The sequence below is a fragment of the Homo sapiens genome, chromosome X, assembly GCF_000001405.40.
Source record: "Homo sapiens chromosome X, GRCh38.p14 Primary Assembly".
In the NCBI taxonomy this organism is placed as follows: Eukaryota; Metazoa; Chordata; class Mammalia; order Primates; family Hominidae; genus Homo; species Homo sapiens.
Window position 1 is genome coordinate 124,715,106 of NC_000023.11, and position 26,707 is coordinate 124,741,812.

The 26,707-nt window shown below is 38.1% G+C and overlaps 1 protein-coding gene across 13 annotated transcripts in view; it reads right to left on the bottom strand.

The window, feature by feature from the left end:
• Nucleotides 1-26,707, bottom strand: part of TENM1 (teneurin transmembrane protein 1) — an 828,410-nt gene that overhangs the window by 339,203 nt on the left and 462,500 nt on the right. For all 13 annotated transcript variants that reach the window (XM_017029210.3, XM_017029211.3, XM_047441760.1 and 10 more), the window contains one exon: nucleotides 21,852-22,092. In XM_017029210.3, coding sequence (XP_016884699.1) covers nucleotides 21,852-22,092 — 241 coding nt within the window. The remainder of the gene's footprint in view (nucleotides 1-21,851; nucleotides 22,093-26,707) is intronic.

Sequence of the window (26,707 nt, forward strand, 5' to 3'; positions counted from 1 at the left end):
TTCTCTTTATATTTAATGCTAATTTAGGTTTTGAGATAATGGTGTGGAAGCTATAATCCTTTCAAACTACAAAATAATGTGGAAAGCTATTGGTAGGTGAGCTTATCAATCCTCTTACAATTTTATACATTTTCCCTATGGAGGAATAATGGAATGCCACCCTATAGTTTTCAGTAGTTCATTCCCTAACAGAGACTAATCAAAATAGGAACAAACAGGTGACGCAGGAAATACTTGTGACTATACATTTAAAAGTAAATCAGACTCTAAATTTCCTAGGACTTAAAAAAAAAAAAAACTCTTCATTTTGTAAAGAAACTCAATTACATTTCCCTTTGCTGAAAGTCAGTTCCCAATTTTACTCAACAGAGAAACTGATGATTTTATAAAATTGATCTTCAGTGGTTACTTGGATTATTATGGTTATTTTTTTCTTTATACAGGAGGGGGTAGTGGGCAGAGTATTATACACTTTTATTACCTCTTTTTTCATCTTCTCTTTTCTTTTTTTTTCCTTTTCTTTTCTTTTCCTTTTCTTTTCTTTTCTTTCTTCTTTCTTTCTTTTTGAGACACAGTTTTCACTCTTGTTGCCCAGGCTCGGTGCAAAGGCGTGATCTCGGCTCACTGCAACCTCCACCTCCCGGGTTCAAGCGTTTCTCCTGCCTCAGACTCCCGTTCAACTTCATTTTCCACAGACATGTCTTTTCCTGGTTTATTTTATGAGCCAGTTGACATGGTATACTTTTCTGTATCATTTATTTTTATTGAGTTATAATGTACCTCGATAAGGACATCTTATATAAAAAAAAGTTTCAAATTAATTACAAAGAAGTACAAGAAGGACAGAGCCTAAGAGTTTCTCACTAAACACTTCAGGTTGAAAATCTAGATCATTATGCTAATGCAACTTTTGAAGGATCTTGATCAACATTTGGCTTTTATCAGCTTTTATTTCTTTGAAAGACTTATTCATACATGTACATTAAAGGTAAGAATATTTTATAATGTCATAAATTAACATAAGAAATGCCACTCAAATCAGTCCCTTAATCTATCCAGCATAACATTTTTCTTCTCTAAAGAACAAGCTGGCAAAACACATGAATGTCCTTTGAAATAGCCTCAAAATAAAACAGCCAGAAGCAGAGACTGCTTCTCACCAACACCCATGTTCTCCTCTCTTCCTGGGCACACAAATGGAGTACAATTTCCCAACCACCATTTTTGTTAGGTGTGGTCCTGCGACTGAGTTCTGGCTAATGAAATGTAAAGTGTGAGCAAAAGTGATGTCTGACACTTCAAGGCTTGACCCCTAAAACTTTCCACCCATGATCCCCAATCTCCTTCCTCATCCACTGGCTAGAAAAAAGCAGACCCAAATATGGAAGGAGCCTAGTACAATTGTTACAGGTAAATAGGCATGAGTGGGGCAGGAGAGGGCTCTCCCTATCACCCACTAGAAATGTCCATTGATGGTTCAGCAATTATTGCATTGCCTTTCAAACAGTGACAAATTGGTAGCCGGTGCCATTTCCTGATAGTCCACACCTGTTAACATCAAAATGTTAATTGAATGTAGGCCCCAAGGAGAAGCAACTTCCTGGACATGCACATCAAGAGACAAAAATAGCGAAGTATGATCTTCCGGGTACACGCCACTGGAAAAGGAAAGAAAGCCTCAGATGGGCATGTGTATAACTCCCTAAACACACTGTGCGTGCTCAATTCCAAATGGTAAGGAACGCACTGAGTATGCAGGAAGCCCACCCTAAGGGTAGAATCATGGGAGAGACGAGCCTATAAAGCCCTAGGATCAAAGTTAAAGGCACCTTTTTTTTTGCTCTCTTTTCTCCCTTGGACCTTCAGGTGCCCCCTTGAGTCTCCTCCAAGCAAATTTTCCTTTCTTTCCGTCCTGAAGACTTTTAAAATAAACTTCCACTCCTGCTCTGAAACTTGCCTCAGTCTCTTTTTCTGCTTTATGCCCCTCAGTTAAATTCTTTCTTCTGAGGAGGCAGGGACTGAAGTTGCTACGGACCCATATGGATATGCTGCTGGTCAGGGTAACTCAGATCTCTTCTACTGGTAACACATTCATTCCATGGAATATTATGCAGTCAGAAAATCCAAAGAATTGGTAACCACATAAGCATATTAGATATGTAGATCATTGTCTCTCAGCACAGAGACCTAGACAGGACATCCATGATCCCCCTATGCCCACTCCCCACTGCCTGCAGCCATAGTCCAGAATTGGATAACCAAACTTAGAGGCAATCGTATTCTCTCTTTCTCACTCAGAAATCTAGACATAGACACACAACTGGGGAAGCCAAGATGCAAGGTCATGTTGAGCCAGAGCTGGAGTTACAACATTATAGGGGAACAGACAAAGAAATCCCATCTAGAGTGAAGCTTGAGAATGGAGCATATCTCTAGAGAGAAGAAAAGATGAGACATCACCTGGTCCCAGAAAGAAATAGAATGATGGAGAGAGTTTCATCTTTCATTAGGCCTGGCTGTACTTACTGTGCTTTTCTTTCACTGTGAGATTACTCTGCATCTTAAAAAAAACCTTTAAAAAGTTTAATTTAGTTGTACAGGTTTTCTGCTCCCAGTAACTAGATAATTTTCCATATTGAGCAAGAAACAGAGTTCATGCATATAGTACAACCACAATTACGTGCTGTCCCCTCCCACACAAAACCAAAAGCAAAATACAACCCCAAATCCCCATTCCACAGACATCTGATCTAGAAGAAAACAAAAGGAAATCTTAATAGTAAGTATCTTTGGATGATGGAAATTGTAGTTATTTTTCCTGGTGATTATCCATGTACTTTCTATTTTTGAAATGAAGGTATACTACTTTTATAAGGTCCGTCATGACCTGGCCTCTGCAGGCCTGTCAGCCTCACTACTGCTATTGTCTACAATGCCCTCTATACTTCTAGCCATCCTATGTTATGTGCATCTCCAAATGGGCCATTTTTCTTTCAGGTTTCTGTGTCCTTGTAAGCTTTTTGCAAAGAACAATATCAGAAGAGCTAAGACATGCCCCCAAATAGTGCAGGTCTAAAGTAAGGCAGGAAATAGAGGACAAAAAGTGAACATAGGGAGAATGAAGAGTATAAGAGAAGAGAAAGGAATAGAGTAAGAAAAGAAATCTTACAGATAGATATGGCTGTCTTTGCAAGGTTAGAAGATCATTCGTTAGTTGCTTCAGGGGTCACTCTGGTCTCCTTTGCTATAGGTTGTTTAGTTTTGATCTAAATAAATAGTCAGCAATGACACACTGTATTTTTCCATCTTTATGCATTACCAGAAAACAAGTCAATTAAGTATAGTACAAACAGGGTATATATTCAATGTGTCAAAAATGTATTTCTCTTGCTTAAGACTCTCACATAGAAATGCAGGATATGACAAGTTAATTGGGGATAAAAATTATATGACGAGTTGCCATTGCATTAAAAGTAAAGCAATGCAGAGAGGCTCAGATTTAAATGGATGTAGTTTAATGGTTTCTATCCCAAACTATAAACTGGAGAATTGTCTAAACCTCTAACAAAGGCCTTGGAAGAAAGGAATAGGAGGAGGGAAAGATGGGAAGGGAAAAAAGAAATTAAGAGTTTGAAGAGTGGTTTGAGTAAAAAGTGATCCAGCAACAATAGATTTTGTCTTACCAGTACCAGGACTAAGTTGGGAAACATCGATGGAAAAGAATGTTTCTCAAACTGGCTACAAAAAAAGTGTTTCTCAACAGGGGACCAACTGGTCCATGGGGAATATTTGGCAATGTCAGTAGACATTTTTGGTTATCACAACTTGGGGAGGGGTACTACTGGCATCTAGTGGGTAGAGGTCAGATACGCTGCTAAACATCCTGACAGTCTACCTCCTTAAGACATATGTAACAAGAAATTATTCAGCCCAAAATGTCAATAGTGGTGAAGTTGAGAACCATTTGTCTAAACTCTTCATCCAATTGGAACGTGAAGTTTTGAGGTATTCTACATCTCTACAGGAGAAAATCTGTCACTCTGTAAAGACTCCCAGAGGAAGATTTTCATGCCAGGCACTCCTGATCTTATCTTCCTCCCCAAGCTCACAGCTGTTCCTCCTTGATGCTCTATTTGCACTTGGGATTGGTCTATTATCCAAACAAATACCCTGAACCCTAGGGCCAGAGAGCATATACAACTCACCGATAATTGCCTCAAACATTTACCCTTACTGACCAAACAAGGAAATCTTTGTAACAATAAAAAAAAATTGCTTTTTAAACTGTACCCCTCATGAACCTGTCATGAGGCAAAAATCCAAAACCTGAACTGATTAAAATATGCAGAATATATAATAATCATAGCAATTGAAACAACATTAACTCCTCTTAGGTTAGGTCACTTAAGAAACAGTCAAATTCAGCTTTGTGCTATGCTCTAAAGCTTAGTGACTACAATTCCACTTGAGCACAGGAGAATTTGTGGAAAGCAGGCCTGCCTTCCACTAAAATGTTCTCTCCCTAGTTCCCTGCTGTGTGGATTTGAGAGTGCAAAGAAGAAACACATTGGTTCACTTTAATTATTCAGGGACAGCACAGAGAGATAAACAAGGTAAGGTCAACGTCAAGAATATAGGGATTTCATGCACTCTGCTGACCTCTAAATATGCTTTTGTACTTGGCAAATATAATATTAAACCTGGACTTATTTTTTCTATGCATCATTGCCTATCCTTAGAAAACAAATATCATCACGGATTCACGGGGTGCAGTATAGAAATGGCTGGTTGTAACTTAAACCTAAACCAGATTATATTTTTATCTTTCAATAGGAAACATAATATGAAGCTGTATTTATGTCATAGACTGAGAATGACAACATGAAGGAAGATATTGAAACTGTACTGCAGCCTCACACACAGTATGACCCAAGGCAGAGTAGACTTCTATACAAGGTGTTGCATCTTGAATCTTGTCACTATAAAGGTGCAAACCAAAAATAAAATTCGAAGGCCCCAAATCATCCGAATGGACCCCTCCTCTTGGCCAAGGGCATTTCAGAGTTAACCTGAAAATCTAATTCAAGCCATGATGGAAGATGGAGTTTAACATGCCTCGTTATATCCCTCCAGTGTTAACATCAACATAGACCTTAAGTCTGATAAGAAACATATACAGTCTATTTTCTCTAAAGCAGGCATCATCTGCATGATAAAACCTAAGTCTCCACAACCCCTTATTGTAACCCAGACATTGTTTTCTACTAATAATTCTTTCAACTAATTGCCAGACAGAAAATGTTTAAATCTACCTATGACCTGGAAGCTCCCCACCTTGAGTTGTCCCACCCCTCCGGATCAAACCAATGATGTAAATCATACATGTATTGATTGATGTATTAAGTCTCCCTAAAATGTGTAAAAGCAAGCTGCACCCCAACCACCTTGGGCACATGTTGTCAGGTTCTCCTAAGGCTGTGTCACCAGCGCATCCTTGACCTTGGCAAAATAAACTTCCTAAATTGACTGAGATGTGTCTCAGATATTTTGGGTTCACAAAGGGTTTTGTTTTAAAAATGCATTTATTTAACAAAATTGTATCAAGCACCTATTGCGTAACAGGAAAAATGACTTCATAGACTAGTCTTGCACTGGCCTAATGTTGCCTCCTTAACTATAGTTGCCTGCCATCATCACTACCCTTTGACAGAAAGGGAAGTGTGGTGTCTTCTTCAGTTCTTCTTGCCTATAGGAAATTCAGAAAGAATCATGACTGCTCAACTTAAATCTATCTCACTTGTTTGGGGACCTCACCTGGAATTAGTAAACTTGCAATTAATTAGAATCCAACTAACTGGAAAGCTCAATTAAGCAGGATTCTTTCAGTGGAGGAGCAAGAGACAAGAAGCAAGTCACAGAATGACAGAGATTGTAAAGCCAGAAAGGACCTCGAATATCGTTTAGCTTCATTTCCTCATCTGACTATTGAGGAAAATGAGGTTGAGAAGAAGAAAGGGATATCAAGGTTACATAGCTATTTAATAGTGAAATTGGACTTGGACTCAAGATTTCTAACTGTAAATCTAGTGCTTTTTCAAAAACTCACACGGGGCCATTAAAAATTTGCAACGGATATCCTGGGACCACTAGACATTTTGTCCACTCTACAACATCCCTTTATACCTAGAACACTTTACAATAACAACTCAAGCTTAAATGGCAACCCTGATGTACTATAAGATTTTCAATTATAAAAGATTAAATTATGATCATTTGGATTAACATGGAAAGTAGATTCATATTTAAGAATGATTTTCAACAAGGATGGCAATTTGTAAAAAGTTCTATTTAACCTTAAGCTAACCACCAAATCCAATTAACCAGAATGCCCCAGTTTCCTGGGCATTTAAGATTTTAATATAAATAGAATAAAAACTAGATTATATCTCCAGGCAGGGAAACTTAACCGAACCATAAATATTCACTGAAAGACAAAAAGAGATGGCGTGGAGTTCTTTATATACCAGAGACAAATTGTTATAGTGCAAAGAGCATTGGATTGTTTGCACAGGACTTACATTCCAACACCAAATCTTGCTCCAAGAAATTTTAATAATTTAATAACACATGCTCCACATGAATGTGTTATTAAAATTTCCCAAGACTCAGTTATTTTACCATTAAATTGGGCATAGTTTCTATTATGTCTACTTTCCAGGGTTTACAGTTTGAAATGAGATAACTAGTGAAAATACTTTGGACAATAGCAAATTATGCGTGCATACTTATATATGTACACATGCCTATATGCACGCACACAAACATACATGCATACATATACAGTACATTATCAAATAGCTAAGCCTTTTGATTTTGACAGACAAGAAAAAGTATTTAGCTACAAGTGTATCTACTAAAACACAACTACCCACATTACCATAAAATTACCTAAGTTAATGATACTATTCACTATGGTAAATGACAAAATTTGAAAGATTAGACTGTCATAGATAAAAACAATGATTTTAGTTGAAAGGTGAGAAAAATATCAGATTGTGACTATTTTATGCCAGAAGAAATTCAATTTACTTATGAAGCTAATATCATGTTGTACTTGATATTTTGATAGTTTGAATTGGAAATAGTCATGTTAGCATCTATGCTGTCAATGCAAGCTCTGTGCATACATATGTCACTATTAAGTATCTTCTTCAGTAACAAGGGACCGCCTAGTGTTTTTTGTATGCCAGATAGAGATAAAAAGTTCGAGTTCTAATTGTGTCTTGGCCAGTGATAGGTGCTTGCCCTCGGAAATATGATGTATATTTGAGAACCAACTTTAGATAAGAGTGGGAAGATGTAATATCACCTCTACTGTGAGAATACCAAAGGCAAACTTTTTATTTTATTTTAATCCTCCTCCCAAAGGTGAGGATTAATAAATCCCCAGCTCGGCCAGGCGTGGTGGCTCACGCCTGTAATCCCAGCACTTTGGAAGGCCGAAGCGGGCGGATCACGAGGTCAGGAGATCGAGACCATCCTGGCTAACATGGTGAAACCCTGTCCCTACTAAAAATACAAAAAATTAGCCAGGTGTGGTGGCAGGTGCCTGTAGTCCCAGCTACTTGGGAGGCTGAGGTAGGAGAATGGCTTGAACCCGGGAGGCGGAGCTTGCAGTGAGCCGAGATCATGCCACTGCACTCCAGCCTGGGCGACAGAGAGAGACTCCGTCTCAAAAAAAAAAAAAAAAAAAAAAAAATTCCGAAGCTCTATGTCCTTGTTGGGACTTGGCAACCTGGGAAGCCTGTACTGTTGTATGGGATCATGTTGTTTTCTTCTGAATTATGTGATTATCACTGCATATTTCTATATACTTTATCATTAAGGCAACTTGATCTCTGACTGGGTCTGTTTCTTCTTGTCACTCACAGCACTATCCTGATGTCTAGTGTATACCTCCTCACTAATGTAGTTTCCCTTGTATTTTGCCTTCCAATTCACATGAAAGTTTTGCCCTGATTCAGTCTGCTCTCAATCTACTGCCCCATTTCAAAACCCTACTTTACCTTTTGTTTCCATTTTCTTAGCTCTTACCAATTCTTCAAATCCAACGTGGTATGTGGCTTCAATCTCACTACTGTACAGAAATTGGCTGCTTAAAATTTATAATTGATAGAGTCAATGGTCTCTTCTCATCCATAGTTTATTTGATTCCTCTGTGATATTTGAAAATCATGATCACCACCTCCTGGAAATTTCCTTCTGTTTGTTCTCTTCCGTGATTACTTTTCAGTCACCTACGCTGGCCTTTCTCCTCTATGAACTCCTAATACATAAGTGTTGCCATGGTTTGGTTTTTGGCTTTCTTTTAGTCTTGCATAAAACTCCATCTAGGTTTTTCAATACTTACTATTATTACATTTACCTATGAAAGTCTTAATTATCTACGTCCATCATGAGCTCTGGAAGCAGACATATCTGGTGGGTTTTTTTTTTTGTTTTTTTTTTTTTTTTTTGACGGAGTCTCACTCTGTCATTAGGCTGGAGTGCAGCAGCATGATCTCAGCTCACTGCAACTTCCGCCTCCCGGGTTCCAGCGATTCTCCAGCCTCAGCCTCCGGAGTAGCTGGGAATACAGGCGTGTGCCACCACGCCTAGCTAATTTTTGTATTTTTAGTAGAGACGGGGTTTCACCATATTGGCCAGGATGGTCTTGATCTCTTGACCTTGTGATCCGCCCGCCTCAGCCTCCCAAAGTGCTGGGATTATAGGCATGAGCAACCATGCCCGGCCGAAGCTGGGTTTTAACTGACTCCACTACACGTAACTGATGACCCTGTGGCATGTTGTTCAACATTTTTAAGCCTTAGTTTTAATAACACTAAGTTAAAATAAATGTGACAGTTACTTGGAAAAATACTTGGCACATAGTAAGCAAGTAGTAGGAGAATATTTTTTCTCTATTTATTCCTTTCCTTGGACTCAGATCCATATTTTCAACTTTTTTTGATACTGAACATTTCAAACTAGATGGCTCACGTAGGTGTTCCAATATTTCCAAAATAATATGCACTGTCTGCTTCCATTAACTTCTGTTCCTGATTTCAGAAATCTACTCTATCTGTAGTTCTCTGCTCACTTACTCTGTCCATGCATTTTGTTGAACGATATGAGCCAAGCACTGAGGGATCAACATAAGAAAAGGCATAGCACTTTACTTAAGTTTCAGTGAGGAACAAAGACAAGTAAATAGAAGTTTTTGAGGGCAAATATACAATGAAATAAGGCGTTGTGATAAACATATTGGCAGAGTGTTATGAGATCATAGATAAGGGGTTTCTACATGAAAGTTGAAGTGGGGAGGTTGCTATAGTCTGAATGTTTGTGTCCCTTCAAAATTCATATGTTGGCCATGTGTGGTGGCTCACGCCTGTAATCCCAGCACTTTGGGAGGCCAAGACAAGCAGATTGCTTGAGTTCAGGAGTTCCAGACTAGCCTGAGAAACATGGCAAAACCCCATATCTACAGAAAATACAAACATTAGCTGAGCATGGTGGCATGCACCTGTGGTCCCAGCTACTCCACAGGCTGAGGTGGGAGGATCCCTTGAGCCCGGGAGGTTGAGGATGCAGTGGGTCATGATTGTGCCACTGCACTCCAGCCCGGGTGGCAGGGCAAGATCCTGTCTCAAAAAAGAAATCATATGTTGAAATCGAATCCCCAATATGTTGATGTTAAAAAGTAGGGCTTTTGGCAGGGTGATTAGGCCATGAGGGTTCTGTCTTCATGAGTGGAATTAGTGTCCTTATAAAAGAGGCTTCAGGAGCCTGTTGGCCCCTTCTGACATATGAGGACAAAGCAATAACGTGCTGTATATGAAGAACAGGTGCTTACCAGACACCAAAATCTGCTGACACCTTGATCTTGGACTTCCCAGCCTCTAGAAATGACAGCAATCAATTTATGTTGTTTATAAATTACCCAGTCTAAAACAGAGGTGATGGCAGACTAGGAAGACTCCTAAGAGGTATCTTTGACTCCTCTCCCCGTTTTCCCATATCCCATCTAGCCAGACCCCAAGTCTTGCAATATTATTAACCTCAAAAAAGATCAATGTTTTAGGGGAAAGGCTCTCTCCCCCTACTAGATTGTAAGCTCATTAAAGGCAAGGTTTTTATTTGTTTTGTTCTCTGTTGTAGCCCCAGCAACTAGAAGAGTGTTTGGTTTAAGGTAGGCACTTAATAAGTATTTGTTAAAATTTGATGAAACTAAAATAAATTCATTATATTATTTATAATGAACTGTTTTTCATTTAAAGTATTTGCATTATATACTTTCTAATACCCTCAGATATCACACCAATTTTTTAAACAAAATAGAGAAGCAGATGTTACTGTTTATTTGCTTATCTGTTCACCAAAGGGGACAATTCTTTTTGAGCTTTCTTGTTCTTTAAATAAAATACTCAGTACCACACTTTCACAATTCTTGCAAACATATTTCAAAGACCTCAAGACTTAACCAGATCTTATCTTTTGCTTTGAAAGCTACAAACATTTTTGTGTTATGGAGTTAATACAGAACCAGCTGGATTCTTCTAAAGGGAGATGCTTAGTAGCACATCTTTTTGATACACACATACACACACACACGTGCAGATACACATTAACACCCTGATAGAAAATAAGAATAATTGACAGGAAATTTATTTTCTGCTGCTTTAAATATATTTCATGCTCTTAGTAAAATAGACAAGTATCTATTAACTTGACATGGTAATGGAAATATTTGTTATGATTCACTGGATAAGTAACTTTGCAGTGAATGAAGTTGTTAAGAACTTGTGTTCTCTCTTGTTCAAAACCATACATCTCTGTTTTAAATATAGTCGGTATAGGGAAGTGTATAAGTATATGGTGAGGGAGGGCAAAATGATGGGTACAGAGATTTCACTAAAATTTAATTTTTGTTTGCTATACTCGTATATTACATCAATCAACTCATTTTTAAAAATTCCCTAAAACATTTTTAGATTCACATTTGCATTGCCAAGTAAATCTTCTCCATATTAAAATCAGATTTCATCTCACCTATGGTGAAGCATTCTTTCCCTATAAAATGAAACAAATTATGTTTGCCTATGGTTTTATTTTGAAATGAAACTGAGAATAGTCAGTTGAAAAGCATGTTTAAAAATAATGCTGCCACCAAAGTAACTAGAGACTGTATCACACTGATCTCCAAAGTATTGTTCTTCACTGCCTAAGCACAATAGACTTATATTTTACTCTCAACATGTAAAACATATTTTAAGACTACAGCATTCTCTTTGATGTAAATTTAACATATTCCACACCCATCATGTGGTGTAGGCTGAAAAGCTTGGTTGAGCTTGGTTAAACAGGATTTATAGGTCATAGATTAGTTCTACAGCGTCTTTTCCTGTCTTAAAAAGAATCTTTAAATCTGTGGCTGAAGATAGATTTTTGCTAACCTCCGTGCTGTTAAAGGATTAAAGCCTGAGATACTGTTGGATCTAAGCACTGCATATGTACATTTTGAGATTTTTTTTCTCCAGTCATTATTGAAGGAAAAAATTTAGTCTCTATTTTTCCATTGCAAATGTTCTAGAAAAAAACTACTTATAAATGTTAGGTATATTTTAGCAGTGCTGTATAATAAAGACATATTACTGCTGCTGGAGAACTTACATTTATTGGTTAATACTTAAAGGGTATTTTTCCATAAATAAATTACTGCAATCACCATTAATGAGTATTTCCTCCAAATGATTCTTTTTTCCCCAAGATAGAAACTAGCTCTGGAAGTATAGTAATACACATTGGTCATATAAGTTTCATTTCTGTTTCCATTCCTTGCCAAAATCTCCTTTGCCAATGGCCCTGGCTCTTCTTTTGTAAAAATAACCCTGTAGACTCCATTTAATTGTCACATTGGCCTAAAGCCATCAAGGGCAGTTAGCCTCATACCAAGCTGCAGCCATCTGTCAGAATATGCTAAAAATCAATGAAGATGGTTACTTGCACTCTCCTGCCCCGGCATGATTCCTCCACACAATTCTGATTTGTCTTTGTGAACTGAAGTGGTCATGTTAATCCCAACACCAGGTTTTCTCTAGTGTTGATAATCACAGCAAAACCTTTGAGTAAGATTCATTTTGGTAAATAGATCATGATTACTATCCATTATCATCATTCTGAAAAAATAATTACCATCTAAGATCAGGCCAAGCAAAATTAGTTGTCTTGAACCAACACTTGGCCAAAAATTATCATGAGTAATAGAATATCAAGTAGACTCTGAATTAGGAATTTGAATTGGGGGACAGCAAAGAGAGTAAATAAGAGTAAACAAAAATGGCTGCAATTCCACTTAAAAGTGAACCTGGATGAAGAGGCTGAGAAGCAAAGGGAACTATTCCAGTGCTCTGCAGCAAGGGGGCTGTGTTTGAATTCCTGACAGAAATAAGCACCTCTTCAATTAATTGGGTGTTAAAGGCAGGTCAATCTACTTGCACATAATTTCATGGATAGAATGAAAAAAACATTCTATAGAAAAGAAGGAAAGCAGTAAATCATGATTGTGAGAAGCTAGAAAGGAATAAAGCCAGTGCCAGGGGATGGACATGGGAAGAAGAGAAAGAAGAAAGGAAACTAAAATGAGGGTGCAAATTTCATGTGCGGTATGAAATAATACTTGTAACAACCTTATAAAGTGAGTGCTATTAACCCATTTTTAAGTTCAAAAAACTGAAATTCAGAAAGGTTCAGTAATTTGCCTAAGCTCATAGAGGTAATAAGAAGCAGAATGGGACTTTGAACTCAGTTCTATTGTTTTCTTTTTTTTTATGTTTTAAACATTTTAGAAAATATTTAATCTCACTAATAATAGCAAATGCAAACTCTTAACCAGTCTTACAGAATTTTATCAAGCAGTCACAGGACTGTGCCACCAAAGCCATATGATACCTTTGGGATTGAGGCTCATGCCACAGGGAAGAAAAAGAGACTTTCTGAAGAAAAAAAAAATCAAAGAATAAAAGAAAGAAAGGATCTGCAAACTCTAGTATATCTAAGGATGGGCCTCTGGATAAGGAAGGATAATATGGAAGTTTAACAGCAGGAATTTTAGCATGAAATTTAGATTTCTGGCTCATAGCTTGAGAATGATAGGTTTTCAGTTCCAGAATGGTTGTCTCTCATTAGTACTAGAAAGAACATGCTTGCTCACAGAGTGGCCAACCTGGTCAAGAGTATTTAAATGGCAAATGAAGAAGGGAAAGAAATAATAAAAAGAATAGTGCCTAATATCACTTAGATAACTGGTGACTATGCACAATTTTGATTGTGATATGTTATTCCCAGAATGCCCTTTCCTCCATTTTTCACTTAGTATCACCTCATGATTTTAGAACAAAATGATTTTTAGGCCATTTTCTCAGGGAAATTTCGACTTTCCCCCCTTCTACCTACCTGAACACTTCCTTAGTCTCTACTATTCCTACCTTGGTTAGATCTACCCCCCTCCAAGGGTTCTTACCTTTGGATTACTTAAATATAACAAAACACTTGTGATGGTACTGTTATTTATTTACCTTTGCTTCCCCTACTACAGAAAGTCAGTAATGCATAGTGGTTAAATATGAAGATGCTAGACCTACAGCCTAGGTTCAAAACCTGACCTGGATCTGTCATATCCTACCTGTGGGATTTTACAAAGTTCCTTAACCTCTCTGTACCTCAGTTGCTTCATCTCTCAATTGAGGATGGCAACACTAAATAGTACGTACCACATGGGCACTAGCATATGGATTAAAGAAGTTGATTCATAAGGGCTTAGAATAGTGCTTGGCATATAGTAATGCTGTTTAGCATAGTTAGATATCGTTATTGTTACTAGTACTAAACCATGCATTTCTGGAATACAGGGATTCTCATTCCTCATAGAAGCGGCAGTGCACCAGGAATAACTAGTAAATGCTTGCTGAATGCCTCGCTGTGCAGGACACGCACAATAATCCATAGACTGGGAAGTATATGTGAATACTGGATGTTTTTACAGCAGATTAAAGCTATTGTGTCTCTCTGAATTGTAGTAACTCTGAATTCATCTACTTGCCAGCAGGTCTGTGCCAGGCTATTATACTGAATTGAAAATAGTAATATTTATTGCACACTTTCTATGTGCCTGGCTCTGAGTAGACATTTTCATATATTATCTCATTCAGTTCTGAAAACAGCCCCATGAGGTAGGGTCTGTCATTTTTGACACAAAACAAACAGGGAAATTCAGGTCTATGGAAGTTATGTCATGTGTCTAAGTTCACAATAACATAAGTAGTTTAGTCCAGGGATGTTGGAGTACATATGCTTGCACACATCACCCAGCCTCTCCATCTTTGGCAATGTGCCCATCTTTCCGGGTTGCAAAAAACACCCTGCCCCCAAAATATAATCTAGACATTGGGAATTTTGAGAAGAAGGCTTGGAGAAGGAGATAGCAAGGCTGACGTCTGAGTAAGGGAGGGCTCAGGGCAGGGCCCAATCCCCAATGTACTGGGTAGACAGGGCATTGTTTTTCTGAATAACACAGAAGGCAGGCAGCAATGCACAAGCTGTTTTGAAGATTGATCACAGGGCAGTCTTAAAAAGCCTCACAGGTATGTATCGTCAAAATGTGGGAGAAGGGGGATGGTTCTGATGATTTGGAACATGGTGGTGAAAGAGTATATTCTATTTATTTATTTAGAGACAGAATCTCCCTCTGTTGCCCAGGCTGGAGTGCAGTGGCGCGATCTCGGCTCACTGCAACCTCTGAACCATCCCCACTCCCCGCCGGTTCAAGCGATTCTCCTGACTCAGCCTCCTGAGTAGCTGGGATTACAGGGACCTGCCACCACACCTGGCTAATTATTGTAGTTGTAGTAGAGATGGGGTGTCACCATGTTGGCCAGGCTGGTCCGGAACTCCTGACCTCAGGTGATCCACCCGCCTCAGCCTCCCAAAGTGTTGGGATTACAGGTGTGAGCCACCGGGCCAGGCCAAGTGTATTCTATTTAAAAGCATGCTAAGAGAGGAAGTGGAATGATGTTGTATATGTTTACTTTGAGGAAATTATGAATGGAAGGGTAGAAATACCTTTAGTTAGATAAAGATAGCAATAGGGACAAAAAGTAAAATAATCTCTTGTGTTATTATTGCTATTATTATTACTAATATTTACGGAGTGCTCATTATGTTCATGGCTGCTCTAAGCACATTGCAATTAGGAACTCATTTAATGCTCACAATGGCCTTATGAGCTAGGTTTTACTATTATCCTTACTTTACAGATGAGAAAACCGAGACATGGTGATGATAATTAATGTGCCCAATGTCACATGACTAATAGGTAGTGGATTGGAGAGTCTATAATAAGACACTTGGCCAGAAGGAGACAACGGATGCTGATTTTCAACACAGATCACAAAAGCGTCGTAGGAGGAAAGGGTAGTAAACATGAGTGATTTCAACTCCATAAACATCTGCTAGTTGTATCGATTTGCAAAATGCAAATATATGGCAAGTTCCCAAATTTTTGTGTTAATGACTACACCTCCCAAAAGGTAGAGAAAATAAGAAACTTGCCTCTCTGACTGACTTAGAAAAAGAGAAACTGGTGAGTTGAAGGTGATAGGAACCTTTAGAGGAAGTGAAGTATTTTATCTTAGAGTCCATAAGTACCTTATAAGGCCCAAATCCCAGACTTTAGGAAAAGAGCTTGCTGAAGTAAAGTAGGTACAATTTCATGCCCTGAGATACTCTAATATGGAGATGAATTAAGAGAGTTGGGAAGTTATTATATTTTATTTTTTTTAACCTGTTGAAACCAGTGTGTCTGTACTGGGTGTTATCCATTCACATTCAGTTTGGATTTCAAAAGAACAGGTGCCAAAATAAAGGGATGAAAACCAAAAATAAGTAAGTTTAAGAGGGCATGATGAAAATAATGCTAAGAAGAATTATACCCCAAATGAGCCTGAGGCTTGAGAAAAAAACTGCTAAAGATGACAGAAAAGTGCTTTTTAAAAAATATATTTAAACCAAGAAGAGCAAGGGTAGGAGAGACATGCAACCCATGAAATTGTTATTGGATGGCCAATATCTGAGAGGCCTTCTCAACTACTGTACTAGTTTTCTTTGTGAAAAAGAATGATGATAGACTTGAAATGGTAAAATCAATATCAGTAACCATAAATTGAAGCTAAAATAGGCAAAGCAGTCATTAAAAGGCATTTGGCTGTTCTATAATAAATGAATTAAAATTCTATCCCAGAGTGGTCAGAGGTCTTGGAGATTGGATTACCCTGTCACAGTTGCTAAAGTTTTAGCAACTGTAGTGTGGTTGAAGTGTGACAGGAGACTAGAAACAGAAAACATTGGCTTTAGTTTTCAAAATAAACAGGAAGCATATGGACTCCTTAGACTAGACCAAGAAACAGGTTGATTAAATACAAAATTCTACAACAGGTTAATAAAAGAACAGTTTGTGAGCGCTTAGGAAAAAAGTAGTAACCATAAGAAAGCAAGCAGTATAAATTCTCTAAGAACAAGTTATGTTAGACAATCTCATTTCATTTCTATTCTTGACATGGTTATTAGATTGGAAGATCGGTAAGAATGTAAGCATACTATATCTGAATATCAGCAAGGCATTTAACAAGGTCTCCCATAATATGGCTATGAACAAGATGGAGAAATGTGGGTTGTTAGTAAAAGAATGTTGCCTAATAGATAAATGTCACCAGTGGCATGCACAGAGATCTAACCCTAATCTGGTCTTATGTAACATTTGTATCGATAACTTACATAAAAAAGAGGGAAGCATACCTAACAAGCCTACAGATGACATAATTCTGAGAGCAAAAGCAAATAGTTTGTATGGTAGAATTAGAACTCAGCAACATTTCCACATGCTAACAAGATGAGATCAAATTAGGCCAAATCAAGGCTCCAAATATATTTCCACTGTTATCTTCCATACCAAACACAAAACTGAAAAAGAATCAACTATGTACTTACAGAATAAATAAAACGTGGTTTAGCTTCAGAACATGTTAAACAGGCTTTGGGGTTTAGTTTCCGGTGTTCTCAATGTGTATGGATAGTGTCATGTGGCCACCAAAAAAGCTGATACTGGAGTAGACAGCATTAACGAAAATACATAATTAGAACAAGAGAGGTGGCTAATTGTTGGTCATAGCATAAAATCCTCAGTGAATCAGTCAAAATGACTGACTGCTGAGAGTCCCATCTAAGGAACATCAAATCTGCTCACGGTCCTTCCTCAAGGGACAACCATAGATGGCCATGTTGTTTATTTTAATCACATGACTTTTCTCTCCCCGTAGCCTCAGTTGACTATGAGAATAATTGCCAGGGCTTGCCAAAAAACTGAAACACAGCCTGCTATAAAAGGGATGAACTGGGCTAATCAAATTCCCTCTTAGGGTTTTGAGCCTACAGTGACCAAGATAATAATGCAGTTAGCAATGGGACATGCAGCTGAAGGGATGAGGTGAGAGGTGTGAGGAGGTACTCTTGGAGTCATGTGGTACAGTGGAGAAAAGACATCGTTATGAGATAGTAGAAACTATGTGGTAGACAAAATAAATATTGAGCTGATGGAAAGAATAAGCTATTGGACAAAGAAACAGACAGAGAGGAGCAAAAATGCAGAGAACTGCTGAGTCTTATTAATGCTAGAGATCCACAGTCTTTGCCTTTCCTTTGGGGATTGACCAGAGTTTCCCGCGTTCCCGGGGACTGACAACACATACACTGAAAAGATGTTCTCAATTACTCGAGGCAACCTGAATGTCTCTGGCTTCTTGCAACCAGAGAGGCTAATAAGAACCCACACCTGCATTCAGCCTTGAACATTACATTTCAAGAGCAGTTTGGACAAACTGGAGTGTTCTAAAGAAAGAGACCAGGAAGGGAGATTTGAAACCCATTAATGTGAGGAACAGGTTGAAGGAATTGGGGAAACATTTAGCACAAAGAATAGAGGACTCAAGAATAGTGAAGGGCTGTCAGTTGTAAGGGGAATTTTACTTATTCTGTGAGACCCTAAAATTAGATTTGAGAAAAATGGGCAGAGTTAAGAAGGGATAGATTTTGGTTCAAAAAGAATCTTCTAGTAGTTGTTTGAGGTAGAGTGGAATAACTTAGGAATAAGCCAATTACCTATTTTGGAGATATTTATGCAAAGGCAAGTGGCCACTTAGTAGGGATAGTAATGTTACCTTTTAATTGTGTAGTGCTTTACAGTATATGAGGCACTTTCTACTACGTTAGTTTGATTTTCCTAATTAGGAAGTCAGGCATTTGTATATTCATTTTTACAGATGAGGAGGCTGAGGCTCAGACAGGTTCTGTTACACAGTTCATGTATAAGTTCCTGGATACCCACAGTTACCTTTATTGACTACATGAGAAATGAACATTTTAAAGGCTATATTTGAACAATGCTAGTTGATAGAGCTAATAACGTTTCTGGCTTTTAAAAAATCATCATTGTGATGCTAAATATATGTTCAAATGTACTAAAAAGGTACTCTGTTCACTCTTACATGAAAACTTATGTTCTTCTCTGCGTCTTAAGAAACTGAGACCAATTAATATATTCCTTGCATAGATACAGAAGGTCCGTGGGTGCAGTTTGTACAAACATGCCTAGATGTACATTTCAAATAAGAATAATTTTCTCTCTCCATTTGCCTGAACCCATTCCCCACTCTCTCCCAGATTTTCTGTTATTTGGCTTCAAAGACGAAAGGAGTGTGTTTGCTTGTCAGAACTGCTACTTAACCATATTGCCCTGTTGTTTCCTCAGCTCTCTATCACTAAGCTCTGCAAATGAACTAAAAGTAAAATGAGGAAATAACCACTGTTTGAAAACTCCTTGAAGAAGATATACATTGTTCTTTGCATTTTACCCTTTACTCACCTCCCCCTTTCAATTAAAAAAGAAAGAAAAGAAAAGAAAAGAAAAGATACAGGGCTGGGCACGGTGGCTCACGCCTGTAATCCCAGCACTTTGGGAGGGTGAGGCGGGCAGATCACAAGGTCCGGAATTCAAGACCAGTCTAGCCAATATGGTGAAACCCTGTCTCTACTAAAAATACAAAAATTAGCTGGGCGTGGTGGCATATGCCTATAGTCCCAGCTACTCTGGACGCTGAGGCAGGAGAATCGTTTGAATCCAGGAAGTGGAGGTTGTAGTGAGCCAAGATCTTGCCACCGCACTCCAGCCTGGGCGACAGAAGGAGACTGTCTCAAATAAATAAATAAATAAATAAATAAATAAATAAATAAATACAGAAACTCTATCACTAGTATAGTTCTAATTGGGTTATTGTCACCATAGGTGCTGACTGCTATATTTTTCTCTTGGAATGTAGCAGAAATCACCCTTTATGAAACCATTTAATCTGGTAAGTGATGGATGATACTGTTTCCTGGACATGGGCCATAGTACTTGCAGTTTGTTGATGGTGAAATATTCTCTGATGCCATGGTTGGTATTTAATTTAATATGCTGCTAAACAACAAAAACAATAACAACCAGTCTTAGGAGAGTTGACTAGTCCTTCTCTTTCCATTCCAATTCCCAGAGATCAGATTAGAAGGTGATACCAGACATTGTTTATCAAGTAGTATATTATACCCATTTTTTACATACAAATGTCTTTAGAAAAAGTTTCTGTAAATTGGATAGCTATAGGTAGAAGGAAACTGGACTCCTATCCCTCACTGTATACAAAAATTAACTCAAGATGGATTAAATACTTAAATATAACACCAGAAACTATAAAAATACTAGAAGACAGCCTAGGAAAAAACTCTTCAGGACATTGGCCTAGGCAAGAAATTTTATGACCAAGACCTCAAAAGCAAATGCAACAACAACAAAAATAGACAAATTTGGCTTAATTAAGCTAAAAAGCTTCTGCATAGCAAAATAAATAATCAACAGAGTAAACAGACAACACACAGAATGGGAGAAAATATTTGCAAACAATGCATCCAAGAAAGGACTAATATCCAGAATCTACAAGGAACTTAAACAAATCAACAAGAAAAAAATACCCAAAAATTCCTGTTAAAAAGTGGGCAAAGGACATGAACAGACATTTCTCAAAAGGTGCTGTATAAGTGGTCAACAAACAGATGAAAAAATGCTCAACATTATTAATTATCAGAGAAATGCAAATTAAGACCACAATGAAATACGATCTCATACCATTCAGAATGGCTATTATTAAAAAGTCAAAAAACAACAGGTATTGGTGAAAATGTGGAGAAAAGGCAATGCTTATACACTGTTGGTGGGAATAAAAATTAACACAACCTCTGGAAAACAGTATGGCGATTTTTAATAGAACTTCCATTTGATTCATCAATGCACTTCTGGGTATCTACCCAAAGAAAAATAAATCATTATATCAAAAAGACACCTGCATGCATGTGTTTATCACAGCACAATACACAAGAGCAAAATCATGGAATCAACCTAAGTGTCCATCAATGAATAATTGGATGAAGAAAATGTGGTATATATACACCATAGAGTACCACAGAGCCTTAAAAAAAAATCATGTTTTTTGCAGCAACATGGATAGAGCTGTAGGCCATTATTCAAAGTAAGCTAACTCAGTAACAGAAAATCAAATACCACATGTTCTCACTTATAACTGGGAGTTAAACAATGGCTATTCATGGACATAAAAATGGAAATGATAGACCCTTGGGACTCCAAAAAAGGGAGGATGGGCGGGGAGTGAGGGTTAGAAAATTACCTATTGGGTACAATGTTCACCCTTTAGGTGAGGGTACACTAGAAGCCCAAACCTCACCACTGCACAATATATCCATGTAACAAACATGCACATGTATCCCCGAATCTATAAAAATAAAACAAAAATAAAAGCTTCCATTGTAGAACTAAATAAGGCACACAAAAAAACAAGGGGAAGTCCTTGAATTTCAAAGAAAATAGAATCTATGTTTTATTAGTTAGTGTTTTTCTATGTCAATATAAAGTTGTAATGTTTGATTTAAGAAAGTGACTAGAAATGATGAATAATTTCTTTATTAATTGTATCTGGTGCTAAAATCTATCATGATCAAGGGACCTAGAACTGCAAAGAGTAGAACTTTTATCATGACAAAGCTCTGAGGAGTCAATCTAGAAATCTAAACATGTGAAGAAAAACAGAGGCAAACTTTTTTGCTCAAAAGACCAAAAGCTTCACCCTAAAGGCAGAATTTAGTTTTTAAACTTACACATATACTTCCATTACATGAGGCTGATCCTTTTTTTTTTTAATGTTTGAAGGCAACTTATTTTTTCAAAGAATCTTACAATAAATAAAATAGAAATGATCACTCCTCCTCCAGTTGTGTTTGGGTTTTCTTGTAATACTGCAGTTTTTTAAAACAAGGGACAATTGCCTTTCACTTTGAGGCTGCAGTGACAGCTTAGATAATTGCTTTGTTTTATGTTTTTGTGGATATGTGACAGCAGGGTGTTTATGTATCTGCGGCTTCATCTTTTCACGTGTATCTGCTTTGGTCTGTGGCTGTGGCTGGATCTAGATGTTTGTGTCTGTTTGCACATCTGCGCCTGTGAAGGAGTCTTCCTTTTTGCCCATGCATCTGGGTGTGTATCGGTTTGTGCATTTGTGTGTCTCTGCAGATGTGTGTGATGAAATGAGTTTCTGCAATCAGTAGAACCATCCTCTGCCAATACTTAAGTTTAGTGGGATCAATAATAGCTCAAGTACCTGGTCTCCAATGGTATGTTGCTGTTCAGGACCCAGCTGTTATGCAGATGGACTGAATCCTGCGTGCTGGTTGGGGGAGCTGGAGCAGCTGGGCTGGGCTGGCTGCGGGTAGTCATTGATCTCCTCTGAAGAGAGTCCGCTGCAGGGGGTGGCTTCCTGGCACAGGTGCAGGCATGAGGAGGCGGAGGTGGCGGTGGGAGGGGTCTGAAGGTGAACTGGTTGTGTGGGCTGCTCTGCACATCTAAAGAGGAGAGAAGAGAAACATAAAATAGAGACTTACTCTCCCACTTGGCAGTCAGGGAAACCAGCATGACAGACTTACCAGGATTTCAGATAATAAAACCTGTGGGGTGAGGGAGGTTGTTTTAAGTTCAGTCTATCTGTAAAAATGCCACTTAACTTACAAAAGCACGTGCAGCATGCTTATGAAATGTAAAACATTCACAGTTGCATTTACATGTAAATTCTTTAGGGCTATAGCAGCTAAAAAGTAAATGAGGCCGCCTCACACCATTTGTCATAGTTTCTGCTACTGAACAAATAAATCATCAACAAGACACCAAGTTACAGAACAGAAGTGAGCTGATTTCCATCAGTTGCAAAATTCTCACTTCAGAAAATGCTAGTAAAAGGCACAAATTTGTTGCAAGGAAAATCATTCGGCACTTCAAATAAAAATATAAGGCCACCTTCTGGCTTACCTCAGGAAAGGATGTGAGCTTGCCTATACGGGAGCAAATCCATATTTTAGAAAAACAGCTCACGAGTGTGTCGCTTGGCTGTGTGAAACTAATCTCTTTGTCAGCCCCCCAACTAGAGTGCTACTTGTAAAAGGTAGGCTAAAAGAAGTTTGTTCAAGTTGTTATACATATTTCCATGGTCATGCAAAGCACAGTCTGCAACTTTTTTCCTTTGCCACACCTTTCTAGGAGCTCTGCCATGTTAGCGGCAGCTTAGGCAGCAAGGAAACAGATTTTTTTTCTGCTCGTTTGCAGAGGGGCAGCCTGGGACAGCGGTCCTCAGGCTTCTATTGTTGCTATTGCTTGGTATTTTTCCATTGTTTTCCTGGCAGGCACACGTAAAGACAGTGAGTTAGAATTTGGCCCATGAGAAATACCTCAATTAAACCCCTTTAAAAAGAAATCACTATTGTAGCTGATAGCCACCTCTCTTCCACAGGAGAAACATAATAGATGTCAAGTGATTTCTTGTAACACCAGCACGTTCTGGATAAACTTTGTGGACAGCATGGCCTTGTCCCACCTCCCAAATGACTGAGAGTTGAAAAGCAGAAAAACGCCAGAGGCTTTCGATGCCTAGCAAAGGACTCAGCTGGTTTGTGCTGAGGCCCACTTTGCAGTGGCTGATCACAGAAAAAAAAAAAATCACTTCTTTCAATCTTTTTACTTCAAACTTGAATTTTAAAGACATTGGCATGGTTTTTTATTTTTAAAAACGATATTAGCCTCCCAAGAGCATGACAAATTCTTGGCTGTATTTTCTAGCACAGGTGGCTCTCCCTTTAAATAAACTCACTATATGAAAATCTGAATTGTACAAAAGATAGATAGAGAAGGGAGTGGTGATCATTCATTTTATAAAAAGGATTCCTTTAGATGGTCAGCTATCCTTGTATATTTTAAAAGAACTAAAATGTTTCATGAATTTCCTAAGTCACCCCCATTATTCCAGGCCCAGCTCAAATCCCATATTCACTAAAAAAAATCATCACAAATACTTAACATCTCATTAACTTTTTTTAAACCTCTGGGCTCATACTCATAACCGTAACTAGAAGTGTGCTTTCCATTTTGGGGACTCAAAGAAGCATAGAATGTTGAAACCCAAAGGACTTTGGAGATGCTCTCATTTTGCAAATGAGAAAACAAGTCCAGGGACACTTGGCAAGTTAGTGGCATGGCCAGGACTAGAACTCACATCTCTTGACTCTCTGGCTAATGCTCCATTCCCTGTATTGCAGATCTCTGTAATATGAGTTCTCTTTTCCTTCATAAGATTTAGAGACAAAGAATTGTCCACATTTTCTTGATTTTTCACTTAGGTTTATTACGTCTGCTTTTCTCTTTGACCATGACTCCTTAAATGTAGAAAGGAAGGCAGTGTGGTGTAATGGTATGCAACACAGCACAGTGGAAAGAGGAGAGGACTTGGACTGGGATGTATGGCAAATCTGGGTTTAAGTTCTGCCTCTACCCTTTAGAAGCTTTAACCCCTCATTTGTAAAATAAGGATAATAATAATCCCTTTTCCTAACAATTAAATTTAATTCATGTAAAATGTGCTTGAGCATGCATTTTATTGACTATTTCTTTATTGAATGTAATAAAAGTATAAAAGTATAAAACTATAAGGCTGGAAGAAATCATAGGGATCACCTAGTTAAGCTTGCCTCTCTCCACTCGCCATTTTACAGATGAGAAACCCAAGACCCAAAGAGGTGAACTGACTTGCTCAAGGTCATTCAACTTGGATACTTTTTCCTGCCCATGCCAGATGATTTCTTTACTCTTTTTCTGTACGTGTTTTTGTAAATTAAGTGACATTTTAACAGATAGACTGAACTTAAAACTCTCCCCCACCCCCATGGGTTATGTTATCTGAAATCCCAGTACTCTGCCCAGCACTCTTTCCATTATGCTACTTCGGAACATAAACATGACTCTCTTCTATGACTTTAACATTTACTATTTTTGCCATAAATTTGATCCCTGAGTTGGCAATATTATAGCATCCCCATCATATTCTATGTGTTTTGCCTTTTCTCCCAAAATAGACTGCATGTTTCTTAGAATAAGGTTTCCTTCTACTTCTCCTGTATGCTGTATGACATTGAGCAAAGTACTGGGTACAGAGCAAGATCTCTAAAATCTTTTGCTAATAGAAGAGGGTTTGACTGGATCATGGGACCCAGATAATCACCTTCTGTGTTCCCTTTGGCTCTCATTCTGATGTAGCCACTGGCTATCTATTCAATTGACAGAGAAGTAGGTTTTCCCCTTGAAGATCTTAGTGGAATGCCTCCCAGAGCCATGACAAAGGACAATGATACTCTGAAGAAGGTGCTTAAAATGATGCCCCTTCATGATGTGAAAAAAGCACCAGTGACACACTACAGATCTACTGTCTAATGCCACGTGTGGGAGAGCACTTAATGACCCGAGGGAAGGGAGGAAAAGGTGCAAGTCCAAGGTTAGAAGAAAAAGAGGAGTCAATTTGAGGTCTTGTGCTCAGAACCCCTCTAAACAACATGCATGACATTTACTAGCTTAATCAGTAGGGGTTTCTGTCAGCACAGTTGTGCAAGAGAAAGGGTTTCTCTTCAGTACAGTTGTTCAAAAGAAAAAGAATATCTCATTGACATCAGATTTATTGCCTGCTAGATTACCTCACAATCTTTGCAACTCTATTATGAAAAATGATAAAAATTTTACTTCATTGAAAAGTGCAATCATAGTATTATTATTTCTGTTGCAGGTAGAATGGCTTTGTCTAGTCATTTAGATTATCTACGTATAATGCATATCCATATACATATATGGATATTTTGATTTTCATCTATTTTACTGTGTATTTTTATTTCCACATTTCAAATATGTGGAAGTTTCCCTGCTAGTTCATATTGTCTTTAAACGCTTTCACAATATTGGATTGTTGCACTGAGTGGAATACATCCAGACCTTAAGCCTTTATGAAATGCAAATGATCTCAGATTCATTCTTTTTTTCACCTCAGGAAAAAGATGGGGAATGCACTTGTTCCCTCCCAAATGAAGTAATTTAATACTTGGGATCCATGAAATGGGATTTCCCAACATTAAACACTAATGAAAAATACATTAGTGTTCAGTGTCAGAAGCTCTAGAACACCAATTCTAGGGGTTTGCGAGTCACATACACTCACTTCCAAATGTATCTGGCAACCATACACTTCTGTGCCCCAGAGAGAGGAAGGGAGAAGGGGGGAGTGGTGATTATGCAAATGTAGATATCCAGACTTACTTACAAAGCTTTCTGAAAATAAATTAAGTTTTCAAATGGAAAGGTCTAATTCACATAATATACTTGGATAGTAGCCAGTTTCAGGTTTGAGGTCCTAAAATAACTTGGTAAGATAATTTCTCAGGAGCAAAATTCCTCCAAACTGTAGATTTGAGACATTTTAAGTGTGGCAGAGCTACTAATAGAAGTATAAGCCTTCAGAAACAACATTGCCTCTGTCTCCAAAAGGTAAGTGCAAGAAGAAACGTGTCACGCATAGTTTTTTCTTTTTTCCTTTTCTTCTCTTTTTGCCAATACACCTTATTTTGGATAATGTGTTAGAGAAAGCTTTCACAAGAAATTAGAGTATCTCTGCTCAGAAATACTGTGGCAACTTATCAGAGTGTCTATCAGGGTGTTTTGTCCCTTACATTTCATTAACATATACAGTCAGTTCTGCTACAAGACAAAGCATGCATTTCTGCAATTCACTGCACTATGCAAAATCACACCTAACCAAAGGGTTATGGAAAAAATGAAGTTAGGGATGCAACATTCAGAAACATAATCAATGACGCATTAAAAAAAAAGGAACCTAATAAGAATGACAGCATAGTTTGTCATATATTAATGGTTAAGGGATACGCGAATGCCATACCAAATATGACACTTTATCTTGTGAAAGTGGGTGCCAGAAGAGTTGCAAATTGTGAGTTATTGTGAAGTGGTGAAAAGGAAAGTTATCTGATTAGGACGGAAACTTCTAAATACCAGATGTGGATGGGACAGGCTCCTATCCACATGTGGTGAGCTGAAATAGCTGATGGATATTGCAGGTATATACATGTGCCCATTTTG